Raw genomic sequence first — 22,761 nt, 5'->3', positions numbered from 1 at the left:
GTGTGTTTTCCACTGAAGGGTTTCTAGGATGATATAACCCCCCAAATGAATGATAGAGGAGCCTATGCTATGCAAGGATAACAGTTACACACCACACACTTTCTGGATTATTTGAGAAAACAGGCAGGGCTGCATTTCATGGGCCTTAGGTACTTTTGCCCTTGTGCACACCTTTCACCATAAAAAAGTATTAAAAATTATCTTTTATAACTCCATTGGTATAAATTATATTCATCATTTTTTCTTTTGATTTTATGATAAGTTAAAACATGTTTATGGGCCCTTAAAAGGATTGTGGGGTCCTGGCCCTGGGCTGGTGGTATCTGGTGGATGTCAGCCTAGGGCTAGGACACAGCTCAGAGAGGGACTGTGGTGAAGGGGCTCAAGATCTTTCCCACAAACATTCCACTGTGGTAGCCTTCCATTTCCAATATTTGAGAGATTAGGGATTTCGCATATAAAACCAATGACTGACATTTCTTGTTCACCAGCAGGAGATAAGCATATGGCAGTGGTTAAGAACATGGTTCTTGCAGCCAATCAGACTTTGAAGTGAATTCCAGCTCTGCCACTCACTACCTATGTGACCTTGGGCAATCATTTAACCTCTCTGAGCCTCAGTTTCCTCACCTATAGAATGGGGAAAACAATACATACCTCATAGCATTGTGAGAATTGAAGGAGGGAATGAACGTAAAATGGCTTAGCGCAGTGCCTGGCTCTTCAGGGAAGCATGCGCTAAGTAGCAGCTGTTGTAATGTATTTCTCATTTCTGCTTGGGGGCTTTGGTGCAACATGAATTTAGTCACTTGGTTCAAAGTGCAATTAATTATATACCCAGGTGAATAAAAATCAGATGGTCGTGTCAGAAAAATTCACTTGATGCTATCATTGACTAGTTCTTTACAAATGCAATAGGCAGGTAAACATGCTGGTTCTCAACCTTTTCTAGCCGAACTTTTTGCCCATTCTTCAGCTCCAAGGTGCCATGTTCCTTCCCTGGAACCCACCTAGCTCATTAACAAGTTTTCATCCTTCAGACTTTTTTCCCCCCACTGCTTCTCACACTGAAGATAAGGTTTTCCACTATAGCTGATCCACCTCATCCAATCTAAGTTTCTTGTTTCTCTCAATATTTCATTTTTCTTCATCGTTGCATATCTCCACATATCCTAAAAATAATAAATACCTTTTTTATTTTTACTTACCTGATGTCAGGTGCTACGCACACAATGTTTCTTTTCATTTTCTAAGGAACACTGCAAGGTAGTAAAAATAACCTGGTTTTGTCTGTTTGTTTTTGTTTTTTTTGCAAATGAGAAAACTGAACTTCAGAGCAGTTAAGCAACTGCCCTCAAATCAGACTGATGGGATTTGAAGCTATAACTTTCTTGTGCCGAAGGCTTAGCATGCTTTTTTCATTAATTAAGTCTATAGTCTCTTATCTACAATTTCTAAATCTAAAAAAGAGCTCTAAATATCACAAAATATTTTCTTGAAAAACTCTTTTGGTAAAAAACCTGGCCTTGGCTGGGTGCAGTGGCTCACGCCTGTAATCCCAGCACTTTGAGAGCCTGAGGTGGGCGGATCACCTGATGTCGGGAGTTCGAGACCAGCCTGACCAACATGGAGAAACTCCGTCTCTATTAAAACACAAAATTAGCCAGGTGTGGTGGCACATGCCTGTAATCCCAGCTACTTGGGAGGCTGAAGCGGGATAATTGCTTGAGCCTGGGAGGCAGAGGTTGTGGTGAGCTGATATTGCACCATTGCACTCCAGCCTGGGCAATAAGAGCGAAACTCCATCTCAAAAAAAAAAAAAAAAAAAAAAAAAGAAAACAACAACCTGGCCTTGGCCAGTTGCAGTGGCTCATATAATCCCAGCACTTTGGGAGGCCCAGATGGGTGGATCACCTGAGGTCAGGAGTTCGAGACCAGCCTGGACAACATGGTGAAACCCTGTCTCTACTAAAAATACTAAAATTAGCCAGGCATAGTGGCAGGTGCCTGTAATCCCAGCTACTTGGGAGGCTGAGGCAGGAGAATCACTTGAACCTGGGAGGTGGAGGTTGCAGTGAGCCGAGATCACGACGCTGCACTCCAGCCTAGGTGACAGAGCAAGACTCTGTCTCAAAAAAAAAAAAAAAAAAAAAAAGTTGGGGCAGAGGGAGACCTGGGCTGTAGTGATGTGAGGCTGATTATAATGTTCATTTATCTCAGCTAGTGTGATCAGTAAGATAGGGCTTCCCAGTGCACTGCGTTTTCTGCTATTAAAGTTTAAGAAAGAAGCAATGAGCCCCAGACCAGAGGACTGCCCTATCAGCTGAGCCATGTAGGGCCCCTTGTGTCCTAGCAGTGACCCTACAAAGTGGTAAGCATGTTGGAACTCTGAACCACTACCCTGAAGCTCAGCCAAAGCAATATTCCATGTGGGCTGATACTGGATTTCCCATCCAGGTCCCTGAAGGGCTGATGTGAACTGGCTAAGCAACTCTTCCCAGTAAGCAGACCCAGGCCATGCAGAGTAAAATAAATCTCCCAACTTGGCTATTGAAGGGGAGAAGATTGAATCCTGCTGCTGACAAAGGGGCCCACTGGGACAGTTCATGCAGAAAAGCAAGAGCGAAACACCCAGCTGAGTGGACACCAAATTAGGATACCAAACAGCACATGAGCATGTAGTTGTACCTATCAATAGCAATTCCTACCCTACCCATTAAAATGCCAGGATAGACAGAGGTATACTGGGTATTCAGAATGGAACTATAAGAACTCTAAGGAATCAGGAGAGAGAGAGAGAGAGAAAGAGAGAGAGAGAGAGAGAGAAGATGCACCAGCTCTGTGGACTAGAGACTAGGACCCAAGACATCTCACCCTGGAATTTCCCTCTGTAGCAAGTGATGTATTTTCTTCTTGATGAGAGGAAGTTGACACTTGGCCAGAAATACAGCCTCTCCAGGTCTCTGAGATTTGGAAACCTGACAAGAAGGTGACATGGGAAAGGGCTAATAAGGTTGAATCTGGAGATTCCTGGTGGAAACCAATTGCCAAACTCTCATCTGTGAGGCCTAAGAAGGGCTCCTCTTTCTTAGGGAACTGTCAGAAGTGAATCCCTATGAGGCTGGAATATACAAACATGCACCAATGATCCTTTCAGACTGCTGGTTGTAAGCCAGCAAAGTCTGCAGATCCTCATCCAATGAAGAGAAAAATAAGTGAAGAGGGAGCATTTTAGCCATAAATTCCTCAAAGCTTTACCAACGTCATATCTCAGCTCTCCATCCCTTTTCAAGAAATGACTAAGGATAGATATTTGGCTTCTCCCTGCTTGGGTGATGTCATTTCCTTTATTTCCTAGATTTTGCCTTTAGTGAAATGATACAATCCATCCCTCACCAGAACAGAAATAACACTTTTCAGACTGGAACAAGGCCAGATCTAGGCCCTTGAGCTTTGCAAAAGTACATTAAATACTTTGTCTTTTATTTCTGGTCCTTGACTCCGTTGAGGGTGGGGAAGATTGAGAGAGAAGGCTCATATGAAAGGTGAAAACGTTAAATGTGAGTGCTTTATTATTCATTAGGTTCTCTTGTCGCTTAGATGGAAAGGTACAACCAGAAAGCCCTTCCTTTCCAACATCTTGAAGCCCACAAAGGCACTTAGATGCCGTCAGAAACAACTGCTATTGATGGACTAAAGAGAGTTCAGAGCTGGAGAATTAGAGATTTGGAAAAGAGCCCTGGATGTCATCAAATGCTACCCCTCTAATTAAGGAATGAGAACACTGATGCCCAGAGAAGCCAAGGGACATTCTTAGTTGGTGGAAGAAACATAAATTTAGAAATCACAGGCTGGGCTCAGTGGCTTATGCCTGTAATCCCAATACTTTGGAAGGGTGAGGCAGGCGGATCACGAGGTCAGGAGTTTGAGACCAGCCTGGCCAATATGGTGAAACCCCATCTTTACTAGAAATACAAAAACTAGCTGGGCATAGTGGCGGGTGCCTGTAATCACAGCTACTCGGGAGGCTGAGGCAGAAGAATCGCTTGAACCCGGGAGATGGAGGTTGCAGTAAGCCGAGATCGTGCCATTACACTCCAGCCTGGGCAACAGCAGCAAGACTCTATCTCAAAAAAAAAAAAAAAAAAAAAAAAAAAAGAAAAAAAAAGAAACTAAGCAAGCAAGCAAGCAAGCAAGAAAGAAACCACAGTTCATGTATCTGGCTACCGGCTCAATCAAGTACCTTGGTGTAGTCCAGGCTCTGGTACCACTAGATACATCTACATCACGTTCTTCTTGATAAAAGGGAATAGAGTTCACCAGCACAATCTCTTTTCTCACATTTAAAATGAGGATTTTACATGTTGGATAATGCCAACTGCTGGCAGAGATGTGGGCACATAGGACCCTCATGTACCACTGGTGGGAATATAGATAGCACAGCCGTTCTGGAGAGCAATCTGGCTCTACTTAGTCAAATTAATATTTACAAATCATATGACCCCCTGATTTCAATCCTAGATATTATAGCCCTGTGAAATGCTTACAGTGTTCCATAGGGGATAGTACAAGCAGTGTTGTTTGTGGTTTCAAGGAGTAAGGGCCAACCTGGCGGGCTTTGGGAGTGGACAGAAAGTCCACCCTGGAGGGCTAAGCAGCAGTGAGAAGTGACAGATGAGATGAGTACATGAAGCATGCATGGCCTTAAACTGGTACTCCAGGGGGAAGAAAAGTAAGGTTAGGGTGTGATATAGACCATATTTCATCAAATCTAAATACCACCTATTGTTCAATGGACTATCAATAAAAAAGAAAAAAAGCTCTGCCAATTAAATGGTGGCATACCATTTATTGTAAGATGAATCCTGACTTCAGAGATTTAAATGTGAAAAAATGTGTTAAAATACATTTATATAAATGGAAATACATGTGCACAGAATAATATATTTTGCAAGAACACATTCAAATACACCTTAAATACCTTGCACAGGGGTTGTGGAGATGAAATGGGAATGGCGTATGGGAATAAGAGCGACTAAGCAAACAAATGGAGGAGCTTAGCATGAAACAAAGATAATCAAGGGTTAACTAGGAGCCACTGTGGGTTGAAAAAGTGAGAAGGCATATATAATGTTAATAACACCCACTCCGAGGGTCTGTGGTGAGCACTAGCCAAGATCACCCAGGCATAAGCCACAGCATGAAGGAGGGTTTGCAAGTTGTTCCCACTCTTCATCTTTGTATTTGAAGGTGCTGCCCAGCATAGGAGTTAAAGAGAAAGCCTTAATGTTCTCAACATGGTTTACTTCCTTAAAATACAGGTAAACTTAAGTTTGCTTCATGTTCAAGAGTCAATAAATATGGAAAACAATAGCAGTCTTTTGCTTTTCTGACACCGGAAATCTGCTTGATCATTTGTATGTATATATGTATGTATTTGAGATGGGGTCTTGCTCTGTCTTCCAGGCTGGAGTGTGGTGGCATGATCATTGTTCACTGCAGCCTTGATTGCCCAGGCTAAAGTGATCCTTCCACCTCAGTCTCCCAAGTAGCTGGGACCACAGGTGCATGTCACCATGCCTGGTAAGTTTTTTTTTTTTTTAATTATTCGTAGAGACAAGGTCTCAGTATGTTTCCAACGCTGGTCTCATACTCCTGAGCTCAAGTGATCCTTCTGCCTTGGCCTCCCAAAGTCCTGGGATTACAGGCATGAGCCACCATGCTCAGCCTCTGATTATTTGTTTACAGAAGGTTTTAAACATCACAATGAGAGACAGGATGATGGCAATGATAATGATGAATAAATACCGGTGTTTTTTTTTTCTAGTACTTCTATTTTTGTAGTATTTCTAGAAATACTACATTTCTAAAAGTTTTTTGGATGGTTTTCCAATTTCTCTGGAGGAGCAATGCAAAATCAATCCAAGAAGCAAATAACATCCAAGCAAAGACTCTGCTGGGGGCCATCAGGAAATGGGTCAACTTCCCTGGAAGAAGCTCATCCATTGCTGAAGAGAAGAACACATTCTTCCTGAAAACAGGAAGCACTTTCTTGAAGGAACATCAAGAAAAGGGCACTACTCTGCATAAGGTGCTCTGGGAAGGAAGAATGAGGACTGATGGGGTGCAGTGAAAAGTATACAAATTATGGCTTTCAATAATGTCCTCTTTTTTGATTCCAAAGAGAAGTATAAAATCTTCTTAGGGACTCCATTAGACCTCTAACGAATATAGCGAGGAACTCTCCCCTTTCCAAAATGAGTGATGAACCCTAGGCTTGAGGAAAAAAAAAGATCTTGATCTTTAGAAGTCAGACAATGGCAAAGTAAACATTTTAATAAAAGTGGACAAAGTTAGTCACATTGCAAGCTTTCTGCCTGCAGAGGCAGCCCTGTGACCATGTGGCCACCATGAGAAAGGCTACTGACATTGATGTCATTTTTTTCCCAGCAAAGAACACTATTCTGGATTCTCTGCACCAAGGGAGATTTAAAAAACAAAAGGTTGCCGCCCACAGTGTCTAGAAACCCACAGTATCTAGAAATACATGTCATTAAGAGGTATAAGAGAGAGAGGATGCGTATGGAGTCTAGGCCTCGGCCCCTTTACAAGGGAACAGGGATTGGGAAAGAAGCCCTAGAATCTCCAGGTTTCTAGAAGTCTTCTTTGTCTCCTTTCCTTTGCTTTGCTCTTACATTTCAGCAGAATGGCTGTTTCCCACTGGGTAAGGACTCTCTAGGGTCTCTCTGAGCTCAAGAGTTTTATCATTAATTATCTGGGGCACAGTAAAAAAGGATGTTTCTGTTCATCTCCTATATTTACAAAGTGTCATTGGACGTAACTAAGGAAAAGTTGTTTTCCTTAAATTTCCAGACTAAAGACATTCGGGGAAATTAAACAACTAGGATTTAAATCCAAATAATGACTATTTGTTTTAGTTTTGAAGGTTTTGCATTGTTTTCCCCAATGAGGACAGTCATAGCTGGTTCTGAGGGGGCAATCCCGCCGGGGAGCAACTCTACTTTTCAGGGAGAATCGGCAGGGCCTTCTGGAAGAAGGGGCATATCCAGGTAACTCATGATTTACTCATTTGCCTCCTTTTTCCAGACTCAGAGACTCTTAAAGCTGGGAAGGGCCTCACAGATTACATGGTCAGTGTTTCCCAACCTGGTGTCCTTGAACAGGTAGGGGATCCTCAAAGGCAAAAAAAAAAAAAAAAAAAAAAAAGGTTCTAAAAGCTTTTCTTCAATAATTTTCAAAGCCTAAAGGGGCTTTTAAACAAATTCCCCACCTCATGATGCTGCCAAGCAATTCAGTTGATAGCACTGCTAACTTATGAGCTTTTGAGGCCCTGGTTGGCTGATGATGACATCATGGCAAAAATATAGGAATAGTAGGCCTTAGAGATAAAAACTCACTTTGTAGTTCAGTAACTGAGATTCTCAGTGGGTTGTAACAAGTTACACAGAATGAATGACTGGATGGGATTTTTCAGAAGCTCCTGAGGCAATAAATGAACTTTCTGTTTCTCAGTTCAAATAAAGTCCCTGAATGAGTGAATATTTAAACTTCTTTTTAGGCCCAAAATTAAGTTTGAATAGGTAGCATTCCACTTTTTCACAGTTTTATTCTGCATGTATAGAATGCTGAAGAAGGAATATGAATATGAATAGCCTGCTTTTCCCAATTTTTCTTGGAGACTCAGAATTTGCCCCAAACCTTAGTTTGCAGACATGTATGGACTCATTTCCTTTTTATTGTACAGGAATATAGCAGATTCCAGCCCCCAAATTTAAAATCCTATTTGTCTAAACGGTCTGTTACTGACGTATTAAACGATGTTAAAAGATTCAGGAGTTTCTTTTGCCAGTGTTAAGCAGGCAAGTGAAGTAAGCTCCACACAAAATCCTTAGCGAATTGCTCTGTTAACCACACAATCTCACCAAACTTAAGTCCATAGAAAACAACATTTTTTAATATTGATGTCCATGTGTTTATAGGTATGTATAAGAAGGCAGGTTGTGACTAAACAGGAAAGTTAAAGGAAAAGGAGAGCTGGCCGCAATGATACCGCTACTCAGGAGGCTGAGGTGGAAGGATCACTTGAGCCCAGGAGTTCAAGGTTACAGAGGGCTAAAATCATGTCACTGCACTCCAACCTGGGTGACAGAACAAGACACTGACTCAAACACACACACACAACAACAACAATAAGCCAAAACCAAAAACAAAAACAAAAAAATCCCGGGAGAATCTATTGCTACACTGTGTTCTTCCTCTCCATCCCATCTGGGAAACCGTTTCTGTTCATTTAAATGCTCTTGACTATCAGGGAAGATAAGGTGTTCCATAAGGGCACTATAAGGCTAAGAGACATGATAGTTAGGCAATAGATTTCCTAAAAAATTTCTTTGATGCCGAGCCTCAGGTGGCTGGGGCCATGTGAAAGACGCTCGCTATGAAAGTGAATCTTTATCTTGAGGACTGTTCAAGCTTGAAAAGTTAGCACAGGTCCTAGAGAAATGTTCAAGAAAGAACTGAGCTTCTCTTACATAGTCACTTTATTACTACGAGATCTAACCATCGTTGGTCCCACTGAGATTTCCAGAACACTTGAAAATCCAAAAACAAACAAACAAAAACCACATGAGAAAGGCTTTTAAAGATAATCACTATGTCCTGAGAAGAAGCAAAAGGATGAGAAGAGAACCCGGTGTCAAGAGTGCACTTGGGTGATGGGTGCACCAAAATCTCACAAATTGCCACTAAAGAACTTACTCACTTAAACAGATACCACCTGTACTCCAATAACTTACGGGGGGAAAACAAAGCAAAAAAAAAAGAGTGCAATTGGAAGAGAGGTACTAGTCATGACTGTTTGCTTCTCCCTGGCTATAGTTTGTGCTTTTTAAAGTTATTGGGATACAATTCACATACTGTTTTACCGTTTTAAATTGTACAGTTTAGTGGGTTTTAATACATTCAGAAAATTGTACAACCATCACCACTATCTAATTCCAGGACATTTCTTTCCCCCAGAAAGAAATCCTGTCCCCATGAGCAGTCTTTCTTTTTTGAGACAGTCTCACTGTCTCCCAGGCTGGAGGGCAGTGGCACTATCATAGCTTACTGCAGCCTCGAACTACTGGGCTCAAGGGATCCTCCCACCTCTGCCTCCCAAGTAGCTGGGACTACAGGCATGTGCCACCACACCCGGCTAATTTTTTTTTTTTTTTTTTTTTTTTTTTGTAGAGACAAGGTCTTACTATATTGCCCAGGCTGATTTCAAACTCCTGGGCTCAAGTGATCCAATGAGCAGTCTTGTTGACTTGCATGTAGGCTTGCCTCAAGTATACCACACCATTCATCCCTCTGTTCATTCAACCAACATTGTTTGTTGAATTACCCCATGCCTGGAGCACTTACTAAGCTCCAGGCATGGTGTAATTTTGCCCCTACCCTTTGCAGCAGAGGCCTGCACAGCACAGTGTCAAGGATTACCTTAAGGAGCAGAGTTTTCTTTAGGGTTACAGCGGAGTGTGAGATCGTGGGAGATAAGGGTGAGTCACTGATCAATGGCTCAGTGAGAGTTGTGGGGAAGGAATTGAGGCTGACAAAAAGTACACAGTGAGGTTATATGTTCTTCAGGAAGGTTTGCTGTGCTGTTTAGGTTCCTTTTTAAAAGTTCATGGCTTTCAGGAGTTGTTACCTCCCCAGAGGAGGTGTTGGCCGGCAAACTAAACCCTGTACATTTTTAGACTCCTACACCTCTCCTCCACATTTCCTGCTCTGTCCACATCCAGCTGCAAAACTTCTTTCCATTTTTGACAATTTCCATATCCATATTCATTTCTTTCACGTGGTTGTCTTTTGCATGTCTTTTTCCAATCATTCCTGCCCCCACCCTGCTGCCCTGGTGCCCCTCACCCCCGGTGAATCTCTTCTGCTTTTGTGGTCTCTTCTTTCTTCTTCCATTTTTCTTCCTTTTTACTACTCTTTGCCCTCACACCCAAGGTATGCAGCAGGCTTGGATGAGAGAGTCACACGGAAGGGACTGTTTATACGTAAGAATGTTTGTCTTCTCTCCAGACGCACTGACACTTAGGGAGGGAAAGTGCGAACTCTACTCGCAGCCTCTCCTTTGCTCATGCCATTATTTATAATTATGATAATAGAAAATAATATTGATTTAACTTTTACTGTGAACCAGACACTGTGCTAAATTCTTTTCAGACTTTATCTCATCGAATCCTCACAACAATCCAACAAGGCAAGTACTATTATGACCTCCAGTTCACAGATGGGAAAACTGAGTCTTGGCGTGATTAAAGCACTTGCTTAATATCCTAAGCTAGTAAATATCGGAAAGTCACCCACAGCCAGCTCTGTCTGACTGCAGAGCCTAAGGTGTGACTTTACAATGCCTTACTTACTTTCTGGGCTTCTATCCTTCCTCCAACCCACCTCCTACTTTAAGTTAACTCCCTCTCTCTTCCTAAAGTGAACTCGGCAGTCCAGTTGGCTTCCTTCCAGCTTCAGTGAGCTGGGGAATCCCTGGCATGGGCTCAGCTATAAGTTCTATAGAACATCATAACTGCTGGTACTAGGGCAATAAAATCTTAACAGTCTCGGCCGGGCACAGTGGCTCACGCCTGTAATCCCAGAACTTTGGGAGGCCAAGGTGGGCAGATCACCAGGTCAGGAGTTTGAGACCAGCCTGGCCAACATGGTGAAACCCCATCTCTCCTAAAAATACAAAAATTAGCTGGGCATGGTGGCAGGTGCTTGTAATTCCAGCTACTTGGGAGGCTGAGGCAGGAGAATCGTTTGAACACGGGAGATGAAGGTTGCAGTGAGCCGAGATCACGCCATTGCACTCCAGCCCAGGTGACAGGATGAGGCTGCGTCTAAAAAAAAAAAAAAAAAAAAAAAAATCTTAACTGTCTCCACAGAAGACGACTGTAAATTCTTCTGAAGTCCCACTTTGGGTGTAAAAGTTCATGCCTCTCTTCCCCCTCCTCCTCTTCTCTTTTCCACCCCACCTCCATTAACTGCCCCAGATTTCATGAAAGGTCCCATGCATTAAAACAAGGCACAGAAATCCCAGCAGCCTCCAGCTGCAGCGGGGTTGTTTTGTCTATGAAATGTTCTAAAAAAAAACCAAAAAACAAAAAAAAACAAGGTTTCACATCAACTTTGCTCAGGATCAGGGACACATAGCTTATGCTTTTTGGAAAACTGTAGAGAAAGAAGAAGAGGCAGAGGAAAATTGCCAGTGAGGACAACAGAAGAGAACCAATGAATAACTCGGAACGCATAAGGATACCCAGAAGAAAACTTTGTGAAAATGACACCTGAGGGGCTCTGGGATTTTTCCTCTCTCAATTATTTTCATCTTGTTACCTGGGTCCTGACAAGCCAGCTGTGGTCTCTCTGAAAAATTCATTTGGCTGTCTTGAACTTAGCTGAAAAACAAGTATCAGCAGAGGTCTGAGAGGGAATAAGAGCTCGTTTCTTCCTTCTGGGATCAAGTGAACAGGTCTCAGGACCCTGGGGGGGCGGTGCATGGAGAGTAACCAAAGGGCCCCTTTTAGAGTCTCCTTTCTGCCCCAGAAATAATTGTATCACATTTAGACAAAATGTGAAAGTCAGACAGGAACCTGGGAAAGTGACCACTGGGACAGATCTGGAGGGGGCCATGTGACCCCAGTCCTGGACATCACATCACAACAATGTTGCTTTGCCTTCTTTCCCCTAGGAAGGGGAAAGTTCAGAGGGAGACCCTGGGAAGTTGAGGCTTAGATAGGTAATGGAGGTGCATGTCAAGGGTAGGAGAGATCCGGTGGGCCTGGAACTATGACAAATGGAACAAAAGGGTTTTATGTGTCCTGTGAGATAAAACCCAAAATGTATTTGTCTAAATCCCACTTCCCTCTTAGTTTCTAAACCCCTGTTCATTTCACAGGAAATTAAATGTGTTTATCAGATTCCTTTACCCTTACCTCATCGAAAGGTTAGGTTGAAGTTGGCTTATGTGCCAGAAACTGCTATGATTTTTTTCTGAAATTAACTTCTAATACCTGTCTGATCAAAATTGTAGCACAGGCAGGGCCAGCAACAACTAGGCCTATCCTTCGCTAGTCAGCTGGATGAGGACACACATGCTACAGAATGTGTGTGTGTGTGTGTGTGTGTGTGTGTGTGTGTGTTTGCACGTGCACGTAAAGGAGAGGGAGAGGTTCAGCTGATTGCTGAACCCCAAATCTCAAATTTGAATCAAATGTTTACAGACACAGTGGGAGTTACCTTTTTCTTTTCCTTTCTTCAGATGTCATTTTGGAATGGGGGAAATGTGTGAATTTTTTCTACTCTCTTCTTTTTGAAAGGCCTCCTTGAGAGCAGGAATTGTGTCTTATGCATTTCTGTCCTCTCAGAGCCTGGTGGAGTATCTGGCACCCAGTAGGTGCTCAATAATTGTTTGTTAAAGGTGACAGGTACAGGACACACTACTCCAAAACGCGGCACCTTGGAAATGGAGAAAATCACAGAGGTAAGAAGTTAATTCTCTGATCTTCTGCCTTTCTAAGAAGAGAGGGCCAGCCATAAAACAATTCTCTTACCAACTCTCCTGAAAGTAGGTCATAAGACCCTCATATGGCAAATGTCCTGCCATATACTTGGCAGAAAGGAATGGAGATACAGAGATGTCAAGAAGAATCTGAAAAAACAGGCCTAAGTTCTCCCAGCTTTGTACCATTAGATCATACCCCCTTTTGTCCAATCACACTTCTGCAAGACTGTTCATTCCTTATCAAGTTCTAGCATAAAAATAAAGTTTTCCCTGAATTTTTGGGTCTTCATTTCTGAAGTTTCCCGTCATGTAAAGCTTTGGCTAAATAAATTTGTTATGCTTTTCTGTATTTCTGTCTTTTCTCTAAAATCCGTCTTTTGTTATAGAGGCGTCAGCCATGAAACTTACATTGGATGAGGAAAAGATAATACTTTTTTATTTTCTATAAATGGAAGTAGATCCCTTAAACCAGCACCTACCTGCCACCTCCTTCAGCTCCCACCTGTGCCTCTTTTAGCCACTTGTAAATCTGAATATGAAGTTTCTCTCTGAAGCCCCCAAACTTCACTATCTTTTCTCTTTTTTGGATATCTTCAAAAAATTGTCTCTCTGCAGATGACTTCCAAATTCTTTAGTATCCACCCCTTCAGACTGCCTTCCCCCCATCTCCACCTTCTGGCTCTGTGAGACTCCTTACTGTGGGAGAAGGAAGGGGATACACATATATCCTACTGACATCTCAAAGCAATATGGCTGAGATGGCTCTTCTGTGTCCCTTTTTCTGGCAGGCTCTCCCTCTCTGCACAAGTCTAGGGAAGGAGGTTCAGACTTTTCTGCTCTCATCTGGTGACATAGTTGGGTAGTGTAGTTTGCTGAAGTCCCAGGGATAAATGAGGCTGGAGGCACCCCTGGGCCTTGGAATCTCAAGAGGGGCTAGAGGTATGGGGGGTACGAAGGTTTCCTGAGGTCTCGAGGTTTACAAGATGCTGTCTGTGGCAAGGGTTTGCAAACAGTGCTATTGTACAAGGCACGTGGTTACTGGTGAGATTTCTATCCTTTGGATGGATACTTCAGGCTGCAGTCCCACCAAATTTCCTTTCTTCCAACCCCAGACTCATAATTGTGTAAGACATTTTTGTCTTAGTTTCCTATATAGAGAGCTAAATCCACCCTCTTTCTTTACCACAAACCACTTGACTCTAAGGAGATTCTTAATTGCTCTCCAAGGCTCCAGCCTCCAGCTCTTAGCCTACCCCGGTAGTTCTCTAACTGTAGTGTGGTTCAGAATCACCTGCAAGGCTTCCTAAAACACAGACTGCTAGGTCTTACCTCAGAGTTTTTGTTCAGTCATTCTGGGGCCCAAGATTCTGCATTTCTAATAGAGTCCCAGGTGATGCTGATGCTACTGGAGGGACCAAATCAGACCAATAGGCCCACTGATCACCACTCGTCCATGGTCTCTCTCAGGGCAAATGCTGTCAGTTATTGGGCTTGCTTTCTGCTTAGGTTTTTAGATGCTTTATGTCATTTACTCTTCACGATAACCCCATGAGGTACCCACTGTTAATATTGCCATTTTAAAGAGGAAGGAACTGAAGCACAGAGAGGTGCTATATCTTGTCCAATATATGTCATGAAGCTGAGCAGTACTGATGCTGAAGCTTGTGTATTCACTCTGCCATACGGCCTGAATGGTCTAAGGATCATTCCCTCCATGGACTTCTCAGATTATCTACCTTAGAAACCCAGGGCTTTGAGAACAAGATGCCCTTTCATTCTGGACCACCCTCTGCCCAAATTTCTCTTTGCTGCTGGCTAAGTACAGCAAGAGAAAACACACATTTAATCTCCATTAAGACCTTCAAACTTTTTGGAGAGGAAGTCTAGTCTGACTGGGGAAAAAAGCCTGAATTTCTTAAAATTTTAAAGAAAAGCAGTTTTATTGCTTTCAGTAGCATATGGTAGTACAAACGAATGACTAATGAAGCATTTCCAAGAATTCCTCTTAGCCTTTTAAAACAAATGAATATGGCTCATTTACATATAAGCAACTGTATTAAAGATTATTTAACTGCTGGTTAAATTAAAAATGCAGAAGAATTTTACATCTGATTTTTAAAAGTCTCAATATGGATAAGAACTCATGCTTTGGAACATGAAGCCTTTGAGATCATCTCATCAAATAGATTGTTTTCATTTTGCTCCTAGATTCAGGTTTTGGTCTCTCAGGAGAGCTCTTCTGACAAAACCCACAAACATGCAACTGCCATGTGTCAAGGCAAAATGTGATGCATACCATGCGGGCTAGGATTTGATGTTAAATAAAGACAGTGCAAACGTCTTGGTGCTTTGCCTCAGCAGGGGTTCCCAAACTTACTGGGAGTTTGTGTAAATTCTAAATGTTTCGAGATTTTACTACAGTGTATCTGGAGGGGGCCAGGGAATCTACAACATATATATTCCCAAATTTTATTTTGTTCCTGTTTTTCTTACCAATGTGCTTGTTTTACTTTTTCTAATGTAATTCCAATGGGGCACACTTTCAGAAACACTGCCAGGCTGTGGGAAGGGACTGGGGACTGGGGAGGGAAGCATGGGGTTTTAGAGTTGCCCACCTTAGTCTTCAGACACTTTAGTCGTTCCAACCCTTGCTGCCCTTTGGATTCATCTGTAACCCTATTAAAAAGCACCAATTCCCTGGGCTCTACTCATGACCAATTAAAGCAGAATTTTAGGGGTGGACCTGGACAACAGCATGAAAAAAACAAACAGAAAAACAAAACAAACAAACCTCCTGGGTGATTCCCATGTAGGAGGACAGTGCTGAAAACCAGTAAGGCAGTCTGATTTGGAGCAACACAATGAGAAGTATATTTAGCTGAGGGTAAAAAGTGGAAAAGTCGAGGTCAAAATATGTTGAATGTGTGGGTGGATGGGTGCGTGTCTTTTCCAAATTAGAATGAACTCCTGTAGATAGAAGACCCTAAGTTAGGAAACAGGTGCAGCCCAACTAGGGAGCCTCGGTCAGCCCGTTCTACACCGTAATTCATTCTCTCTCTCCATCCTCTGCTGCGGGCCTACAGCCCAGGGCTGTTCTCTCTGGTGCCTTGGGCAGGGCCTTCACACTCACTTTCACTGGGCCTGCTGGCATTTAAGCCTCTGTCCTGGGCTGCTCTCTGGCTGCTAAAATCTGGCAGCCACACAAACCCTGCAACCCAGTGGTTTTTGAATGATATCCCTTCAGCTTCAGCCCAGGGGCTCTGGCTTTTCTGCTTGTTTTCTTTTTTCTTTCTTATTTAAGAAGCTCAAGAGAACTTAAAAGCAGATCCTTGAAAGTTAAGCATTTCTAATCACATAAAGGTGTCTCTGCAGGGCCTGGGCTGAAGAGGGTTTGTTTGGGGGCTTTCATCATTCTGTGAATCCCCTTCCTTCTTCAAACAGCCTTTCTGGGCTCTTATCCACCCAGCTTCTTGCTGGATGCCCACCCCCATCATCTCCATGTTTGGGGCCCAGAGGTTAAAGGAGAAGAGGGGGCTGGCCAGAGGGCCAGAGCGGGGAGGGAGGAAGTGGTTGGCCCCCATGCCGGGCCCTAGCAGACTTTGTGAGAAAGCCCCTCTCCATCTGTAGCCCAGCCCGGTGGGAGTCAATTAATTCTGAATAACCTAAACCGACAGAGGTATTTGCATTCACAACCTGACTGATGACCGTATAAAATTGATTTATGAATTAAAGTGCTTCCCCTCCCTTTATCCCAATTCAGTCTGTAATTGATTATACGTGCTGCAGCGAAATTAAATAAAAGAAAATTAAAAAGAAAAGAAAAAGGAAAGTGAAAAAGAGACACCCTCGCTTGGCGGTCCAGCATTCTCAGGGCTCCCCAGGATTAGCCATTCCATTCATCACTTATCATTTTTTATTAAAAAAGTTACTTCCCCCTTTGTCTCCACCCTCCCTGCACCACCCCCCTTCCCGCCCCCATCTCTCCATTGCCAGTATTCTCCTCTCCAGTTTCCTCCCACTCGCTGAAACTCTGAGGTGTAACAAGGTCCCTGGACAGAGTGAGAAGTGAGGATGGGCAAGCCTTCTCCCCAGCAGCACTTGTGCCCTCAAAAATGTGAGATGTAAGCAAAGATGTCTTCTACTTTTGCCTCCCTCTTCTGTGCTGGTCTTTCATTTCATCCTTTTTCTGACTGCTCCCCACTCTACATGCACACAAATCAAAATTTTCTTGCAGGAAATCATTTCATAAATTTGTTCTCAGCAAGGAATACATTAATGGTAAACTTTTTAAAATGGCTTATTCCTCTTAACAGAAATTTACCAAAGAATAAAGTGCTTAGATAAAGGAATAAATATCTAATTGTAAAATTTCATTTTCTTAGTAGGAAAAGGGTCTTAAGTAGGGGAGCAGAGAAGTTGAATTCAAACCAACTAGTGGCCATGCAAAGGGACTTTGGAACTAGTTGGACCCAGGCTCTAAAAATTACTAACTGCGTGTCCTTGTACAAGTCACTTAACCTTCCTTGCTTTCACTGACAATTTAAGATAACTGATTAATCCGAGGTAATGTACATAAATCCCTTTGAAGTGTGGCTCAGCAAACAAGGAAGGTACTTTGCAAACATTAGAATTAGAACCTACTTCCTTGCTTATTCTGCTTATGAAACAAGGCAGTGCTGACTCAAGAGTTTTCTGGTGTTAGGATGATCAGTGGTTTTCTCCCAACTCAAACCCACTGTGGCTATTTGAGTGACAAATGGAGAACTGTTTTCATTGCCACACCACATCTTGAGAACAAACTGTCTTCTTTACCTCTGTATCCTCAGAGATCTTGGTACATAAAACACATCATAATTAAACCATCTCACTCAATTCGTCCTCATTGCTTCTCACCTTTTCTCGGCTACCTTCTACCTCAGGACTGCCAAGATTTTATCCCTACTTTGTGCTATTTCTTTTCCTGCTTCATTGCTGTCTTTCAATGCCTGCATCCTTCCCAATCCCTTTTCTATCTTTGACAGGTACAGCATTGTCTCCTTTCCTCTAAAGCCTTAATGTACAGGTTTGTGGGTAATCCCATATTAAGTGCTGTTGCCATATTTTACTGAAAGTTCAACAAACTAGGGAGTGATTGCTTGGGCCGGGTCAGAAGAGGTCCACTTTATTGATGGGGGCATGATAGTCCCTCCCCCAGTGAGGAGCTCTTGCAAGAACAGATCCCTATGAAGGGTGAACTCCCAGAGAAGTGCCTCAAGAACACTGAAAATTGGACCCTCTTCAGGGAATGTTAACAGATGAATTATGCGATGTGAAAATTTCCAATAGATGTTGAGGCAGCTCTAAGTGAGGGGCTAACCAGCAGAGAAGGCTTTTCCTTTTCACCGTCTCAGGACAGCCAAACTGCCGCCGCCTTGAGGGGCGGTCAGGCATCTTGCAGTTTCACACATTCTAGTCTACTTCCGGCTTATCCTGGCAATTCCTTGTTGGAATGCAATAAGGTCAGGAAAATGCCTAAACTCTTTTCAGTTGTTTACTGAAAACCGTTTGGGATCATTGAGGTGACAAGAAAGCCTGAGAGCAGGTCGTGAGAGGATCCAGGTTCTGAGGTACTGAGTCCTGAGGTACTGAGTCCTGGTACTGAGGTGAGTACAGAAGCACCATAGGGTGGGTAGAAAGGAAGTCACAGAGAGTGGAGCCTGAGGAGACAGACCACCTCTGCAATTTTGCTGGTGGAAGACCTCACATTCATTGAAAAGAGAAGTAACAAAAAACCAAGGTGCATTGTAAGCGTATGTAGAAGTCAAGAGAACAGCAGATTAACATGGAGAAGGAACCAATAGAAGAAGTCTAAAATAAATGGTTCTATTTACTAAGACCCTCTCTTTTTAACTGGAAAGAATATGATGACTATTTCCCTGAAATAGGGGTTTAAAAAGACACAGGTGGAAAGGTATGAAGGGTGGGTATAACTACGGTATCTATCTAGCTGGTAGGTAGATACTGTAGTTACCTAGTATCTAGCTGGGTGTTATGGATTAAAAGTTTGTGGTTCCCTGCTCCATTCATATGGTGAAATCCTAACTCTCAATGTGATTACATTAGGGGGTAGGGTCTTTGGGAGGAAATTAGGACATGAGGGTAGAGCACTCATGATAGCATTAATACCTAATGAGAAGAAATATGAGAGAAATAATCTCTTTTGGCCTTGTGAGGATACAACCAGAAGATGGCCATTTGCAAATCTGAAAGCATGCCCTCACCAGACACCAAATTGCCTACTGCCTTGATATTGGACTTTCCAGCCTCTATAATTGTGAGAAATAAATGTTTGTTGTGTGAGCCACCCGGTCTGTGGTGTTCTGTTAGAGCAACTCAAACTGGCTAAGACACCAGGGGTGGGCTTCAGAAGATGAAAGCTGTCTGCAGCATGTGGCTGAAAATTGTATCTCCAAATGGCTTCTAGGATGGAAGTCCACGTTCTATGGGCCAGAGGTCCTAGTGGGATTGGCCCCTCTGGGTCAGCTGAGACTATCTCTCCTCTGCAATGGTGGTGTCTTAGAGTTGCTCATCTTGCCCTGGTCTGGGATCAGCTATCCAGCAATTTGGAAATAACCATGACTTTAATCTCTGCCATATTAAGCTTGGAGGGAACCAAGAACAGTTGTAAGGAAATAGTTACCAGAGCCATGGAGCAAGCCAGTCAATGAAACAGCTGGGAAAATATGGGGGCATAGAATTCTGGGGAGCTTGCTTTTCTGTTGCTTAACTTCAAAATGAGAAAAACCTGGAGCTTAAATGCTGCCAAAACTTGGAAGCAACCAAGATGTCCTTCAGTAGGCCAATGGACAAACAAATTGTGATTCATCCATACAATAGAATATTATACAGCAGCAAAAAGAAATGAGCTATCAAGCCACAAAAAGACATGGAGGAGGCTTAAATGCATATTTCTAAGTGAGAGAAGCCAATCTGAAGATGCTACATATTGTATAACTGTATGTCCCAACCATATGACATTCTGGAAAAGGCAAAATTATGAAGACAATAAAAAGATCAGTGATTGCCAGATAGTCAGGTGGAGGGAGGGAGGATGGAAGGGATAAATTGGTGGAGCACAGGCGATGTTTAGAGCAGTGAACCTATTCTGTTTGTTACTGTAATGGTGGATGTATTCTATTATATGTTTGTCAAAATCCATAGAATGTATAACAGAGAGAGAGTAAACCTTAATGTAAACTATAGACTGTAGTTAATAATAATGTATCAATATTGCTCATCTATTATAAGACACATATCACACTAATACAATATGTTAAAAATAGGGGAATCTGTGGGGAAGGAGATGAGGAAATGGGGAGGAGGTGGGGCTATGTGGGAACTCTGTATTTTTTGTTCAATTTTTCTGTAAACCTAAAACTGCTCTAAAGATAAAGTCTACTAATTTAAGAAAAGAAAGGACCCTTTTGTCATTATTGACTTTTGAGCTGTTTGTTGGAAAGATCCTATATAAATGCCAATTTATTTTACCATTCTTAATGAGAGAGCAGAAATTTCTGAAGATGTGAAAACAGCTTGCTAATATAAGCTATCTCATTTTGTTGCATTTCACTTACTATTCTTCACAGACACGGCATTTGTTACAAATTGAAGGTTTGTGTTAGCCCTGAATTGAGCAAATCTATTGGCACCATTTTTCTAACATCATGTGCTCATTTCACATCTCTGTCATATTTGGATAATTATCATATTTCAAATTTTTTTGTTATATTACATCTATTATGGTAATCTGTGATCAGTGATCTTCTATGCTACTATTGTGATTGTTTTGGAATGCCACAAACAAAATCCACATACAACAGCAAACTTAACTGACCAGTGTGTGCATGTTCTGACCGCTCCACTGAGCAACCATTCCTCTCTCTCTCTTTCTCCCTCTCCTCAGGCTTCCCTATTCCCTGAGACACAATAATACTGAAATTAGGCCAATTAATAACCCTACAATGGCCTCTAAGTATTAAACTCAAAGAAAGAGTTTCACATCTTTCACATTCAATCAAAAGCTAGAAACGATTAAGGTTGGAGAGGAAGCCATGCCGAAGGCTGAGATAGGCCAAATGCTAGGCTGCCTGTATCAGTTAGCCAGTTGTGAATAAAAAGGAAAGTTATTGAAGGAAATTAAAAGTGCAACTCCAGTGAATACATGAATGATAAGAGAGTAAAACAGCCTTATTGCTCATATACAGAAAGTTTGAGTTGTTTGGATAGAAGATCAAACCAGCCACAACATACCCTTCAGCTAAAAACTATTTCAGAGAAAGGCTCTAACTCTCTTCAATTCTATGAAGGCTGAGAGAGGTGAGGAAGCTGCAGAAGAAAAGCCTGAGGTTGGCAGAGGTTGGCTCAGGAGGTTTAAGGAAAGAAGCCATCTCCATAACATACAAGTGCAAGGGGAAGTGGCAAGTGCTAATAATGTAGAAGCTGCAGCAAGTTAGTCAGAAGATCCAGCTAAGATCATTGACGAGGGTGGCTACATTAAACAATAGATTATCAGCATAGACAAAACAGCCTTATATTGAAAGAAGATGCCATCTAGGACTTTCATAGCTAAAGAGGAGAAGTCAATACTTGGCTTCAACTTCAAAGGACAGGCTTTGAGTAATCTCTTCCTAGGGGCTAATGCAGTTGGTGACTTTAAGTTGAAGTCAGTGCTTATTTACCATTTTGAAAATCCTAGGGCCCTTAAGAATTATGCTAAACTACTTCATCTGTGCTCTATATGTGGCACAATAAGGCCTGGATGACAGCACATCTGTTTACAGCATGGTTTACTGAATATTTTAAGCCCACTGTTGAGATCTTCTGCTCAGAAGAAAATATTTCTATAAAATATTATGGTTCATTACAATGCACTTGGTCACCTAAGGACTCTGATGGAGATGTACGAAGAGATTAATGTTCTTTACATGCCTGCTAATACAAAATCCATTCTATAGCCCAAGGATCAAGGAGTAATTTCTACTTTCAAGCCTTATTTTGAAAGAAATAAATTTTGCAAGGCAATAGCTGCGATAGAGAGTGATTCCTCTGATGGATTTGGGCAAAGTAAATTGAAAACATTCTGGAAAGGATTCACCATTCTAGATGCTATTAAAGACATTCTTGATTCATGGGAGGAGGTCAAAATATCAACAGGAGTTTGGAAGAAGCTAATTTTAATCCTCATGAATGACTTTGAGGGGTTCCAGGCTTCAGTAGAGGAAGTAATTGCAGATGTGGTAGAAATAGCAAGAGAGCTGGAATTATAAGTAAAGCCTGAAGATGTGACTGAATTGCTGCAATCTCATGATAAACTTGAATGAGTTGCTTCTTACAGCTGAGCAAAGAAAGTAGTTTCTTCGTAAGGTATCTACTCCTGGTGAAGATGCTGTGAACATTGTTGAAATGACAACAAAGCATTTAGAATAGTGCATAAACTTAGTTGATAAACCAGTGGCAGGTTTGAGAGGATTGACTCCAATTTTGAAATAAATGTGAGTAAAATGCTACCAAACAGCATGTCACGGTACAGAGAGATCTATTGTGAAAGGAAGAATCAGTCAATTCAGGCAAATTTTGTTGTTGTCTTATTTTAAGAAATTGCTGCAGGCACCCCAACCTTCAGCAACCACTGCCCTCATCAGTCAGCAGCTGTCAACATCGAGGTAAAACCCTCCACCAGCAAAAAGATTATGACTTGCTGAAGGCTCAGATGATCATCAGCATTTTTAGCAATAAATATGCACTGGGAAACCCAGAATTTTTTGTGACTTGCTTTATTGTGATATTCACTTGATTGCAGTGGTTGGGAACCACACCCCCAATATCTCCAAGGTATGTCTGTATGTAGAAAAAGATATGGTGTGAAATAGTAACATTGTTGGGCCTGAGTGGCCATCATTGCAACGGTGCCTGGTCCCAAGCTCAGGTCAGTCTGCAAGGACTGCTCTCACAAGCAGAATTTGATCCTCCTTAAACAATGATTCCCTTAGAGCTTTCAGGGAGAAAGAGGATGAAAGGCCAAAACTCATACCTATGGTATGAAAGACAATCTTCAGAGAATAAATGAAGAGTTGTTGAAACCACAAAAATGAGGTCCTGGAATAAGTTCTGTCATAACAGTGCAATCAAACATTCCTGGCAAGTGACTCAGC

General features: G+C 42.2%; 2 long non-coding RNA genes across 10 annotated transcripts in view; one reads left to right on the top strand and one right to left on the bottom strand.

The window, feature by feature from the left end:
* Positions 1 to 22,761, bottom strand: part of NEPRO-AS1 (NEPRO antisense RNA 1) — a 164,860-nt gene that overhangs the window by 63,369 nt on the left and 78,730 nt on the right. For 2 of the 9 annotated variants that reach the window (NR_186656.1, NR_186657.1), the window contains 2 exons: positions 12,307 to 12,525; positions 7,954 to 10,907 (listed from right to left, as the gene is read on the bottom strand). The exons of 5 other annotated variants lie outside the window; for them this stretch is intronic. This is a non-coding gene — a long non-coding RNA (NEPRO antisense RNA 1). Of the gene's footprint in view, positions 1 to 7,953; positions 10,908 to 12,306; positions 12,526 to 22,761 lie in introns of those variants that run through there. 2 more of the 9 variants (NR_186655.1, NR_186658.1) reach the window with 1 other exon arrangement.
* The window catches only part of LOLI1 (lncRNA oncogene in liver cancer 1), a 53,508-nt gene continuing 47,335 nt past the window's right edge, over positions 16,589 to 22,761 (top strand). The window contains exon 1 of the long non-coding RNA NR_189285.1: positions 16,589 to 16,692. This is a non-coding gene — a long non-coding RNA (lncRNA oncogene in liver cancer 1). The remainder of the gene's footprint in view (positions 16,693 to 22,761) is intronic.

This window comes from Homo sapiens, chromosome 3 (genome assembly GCF_000001405.40).
Source record: "Homo sapiens chromosome 3, GRCh38.p14 Primary Assembly".
Lineage (NCBI taxonomy): Eukaryota > Metazoa > Chordata > Mammalia > Primates > Hominidae > Homo > Homo sapiens.
Note: the sequence above shows the minus strand (reverse complement) of the source record. Positions and strands in the feature narration are given on the sequence as shown.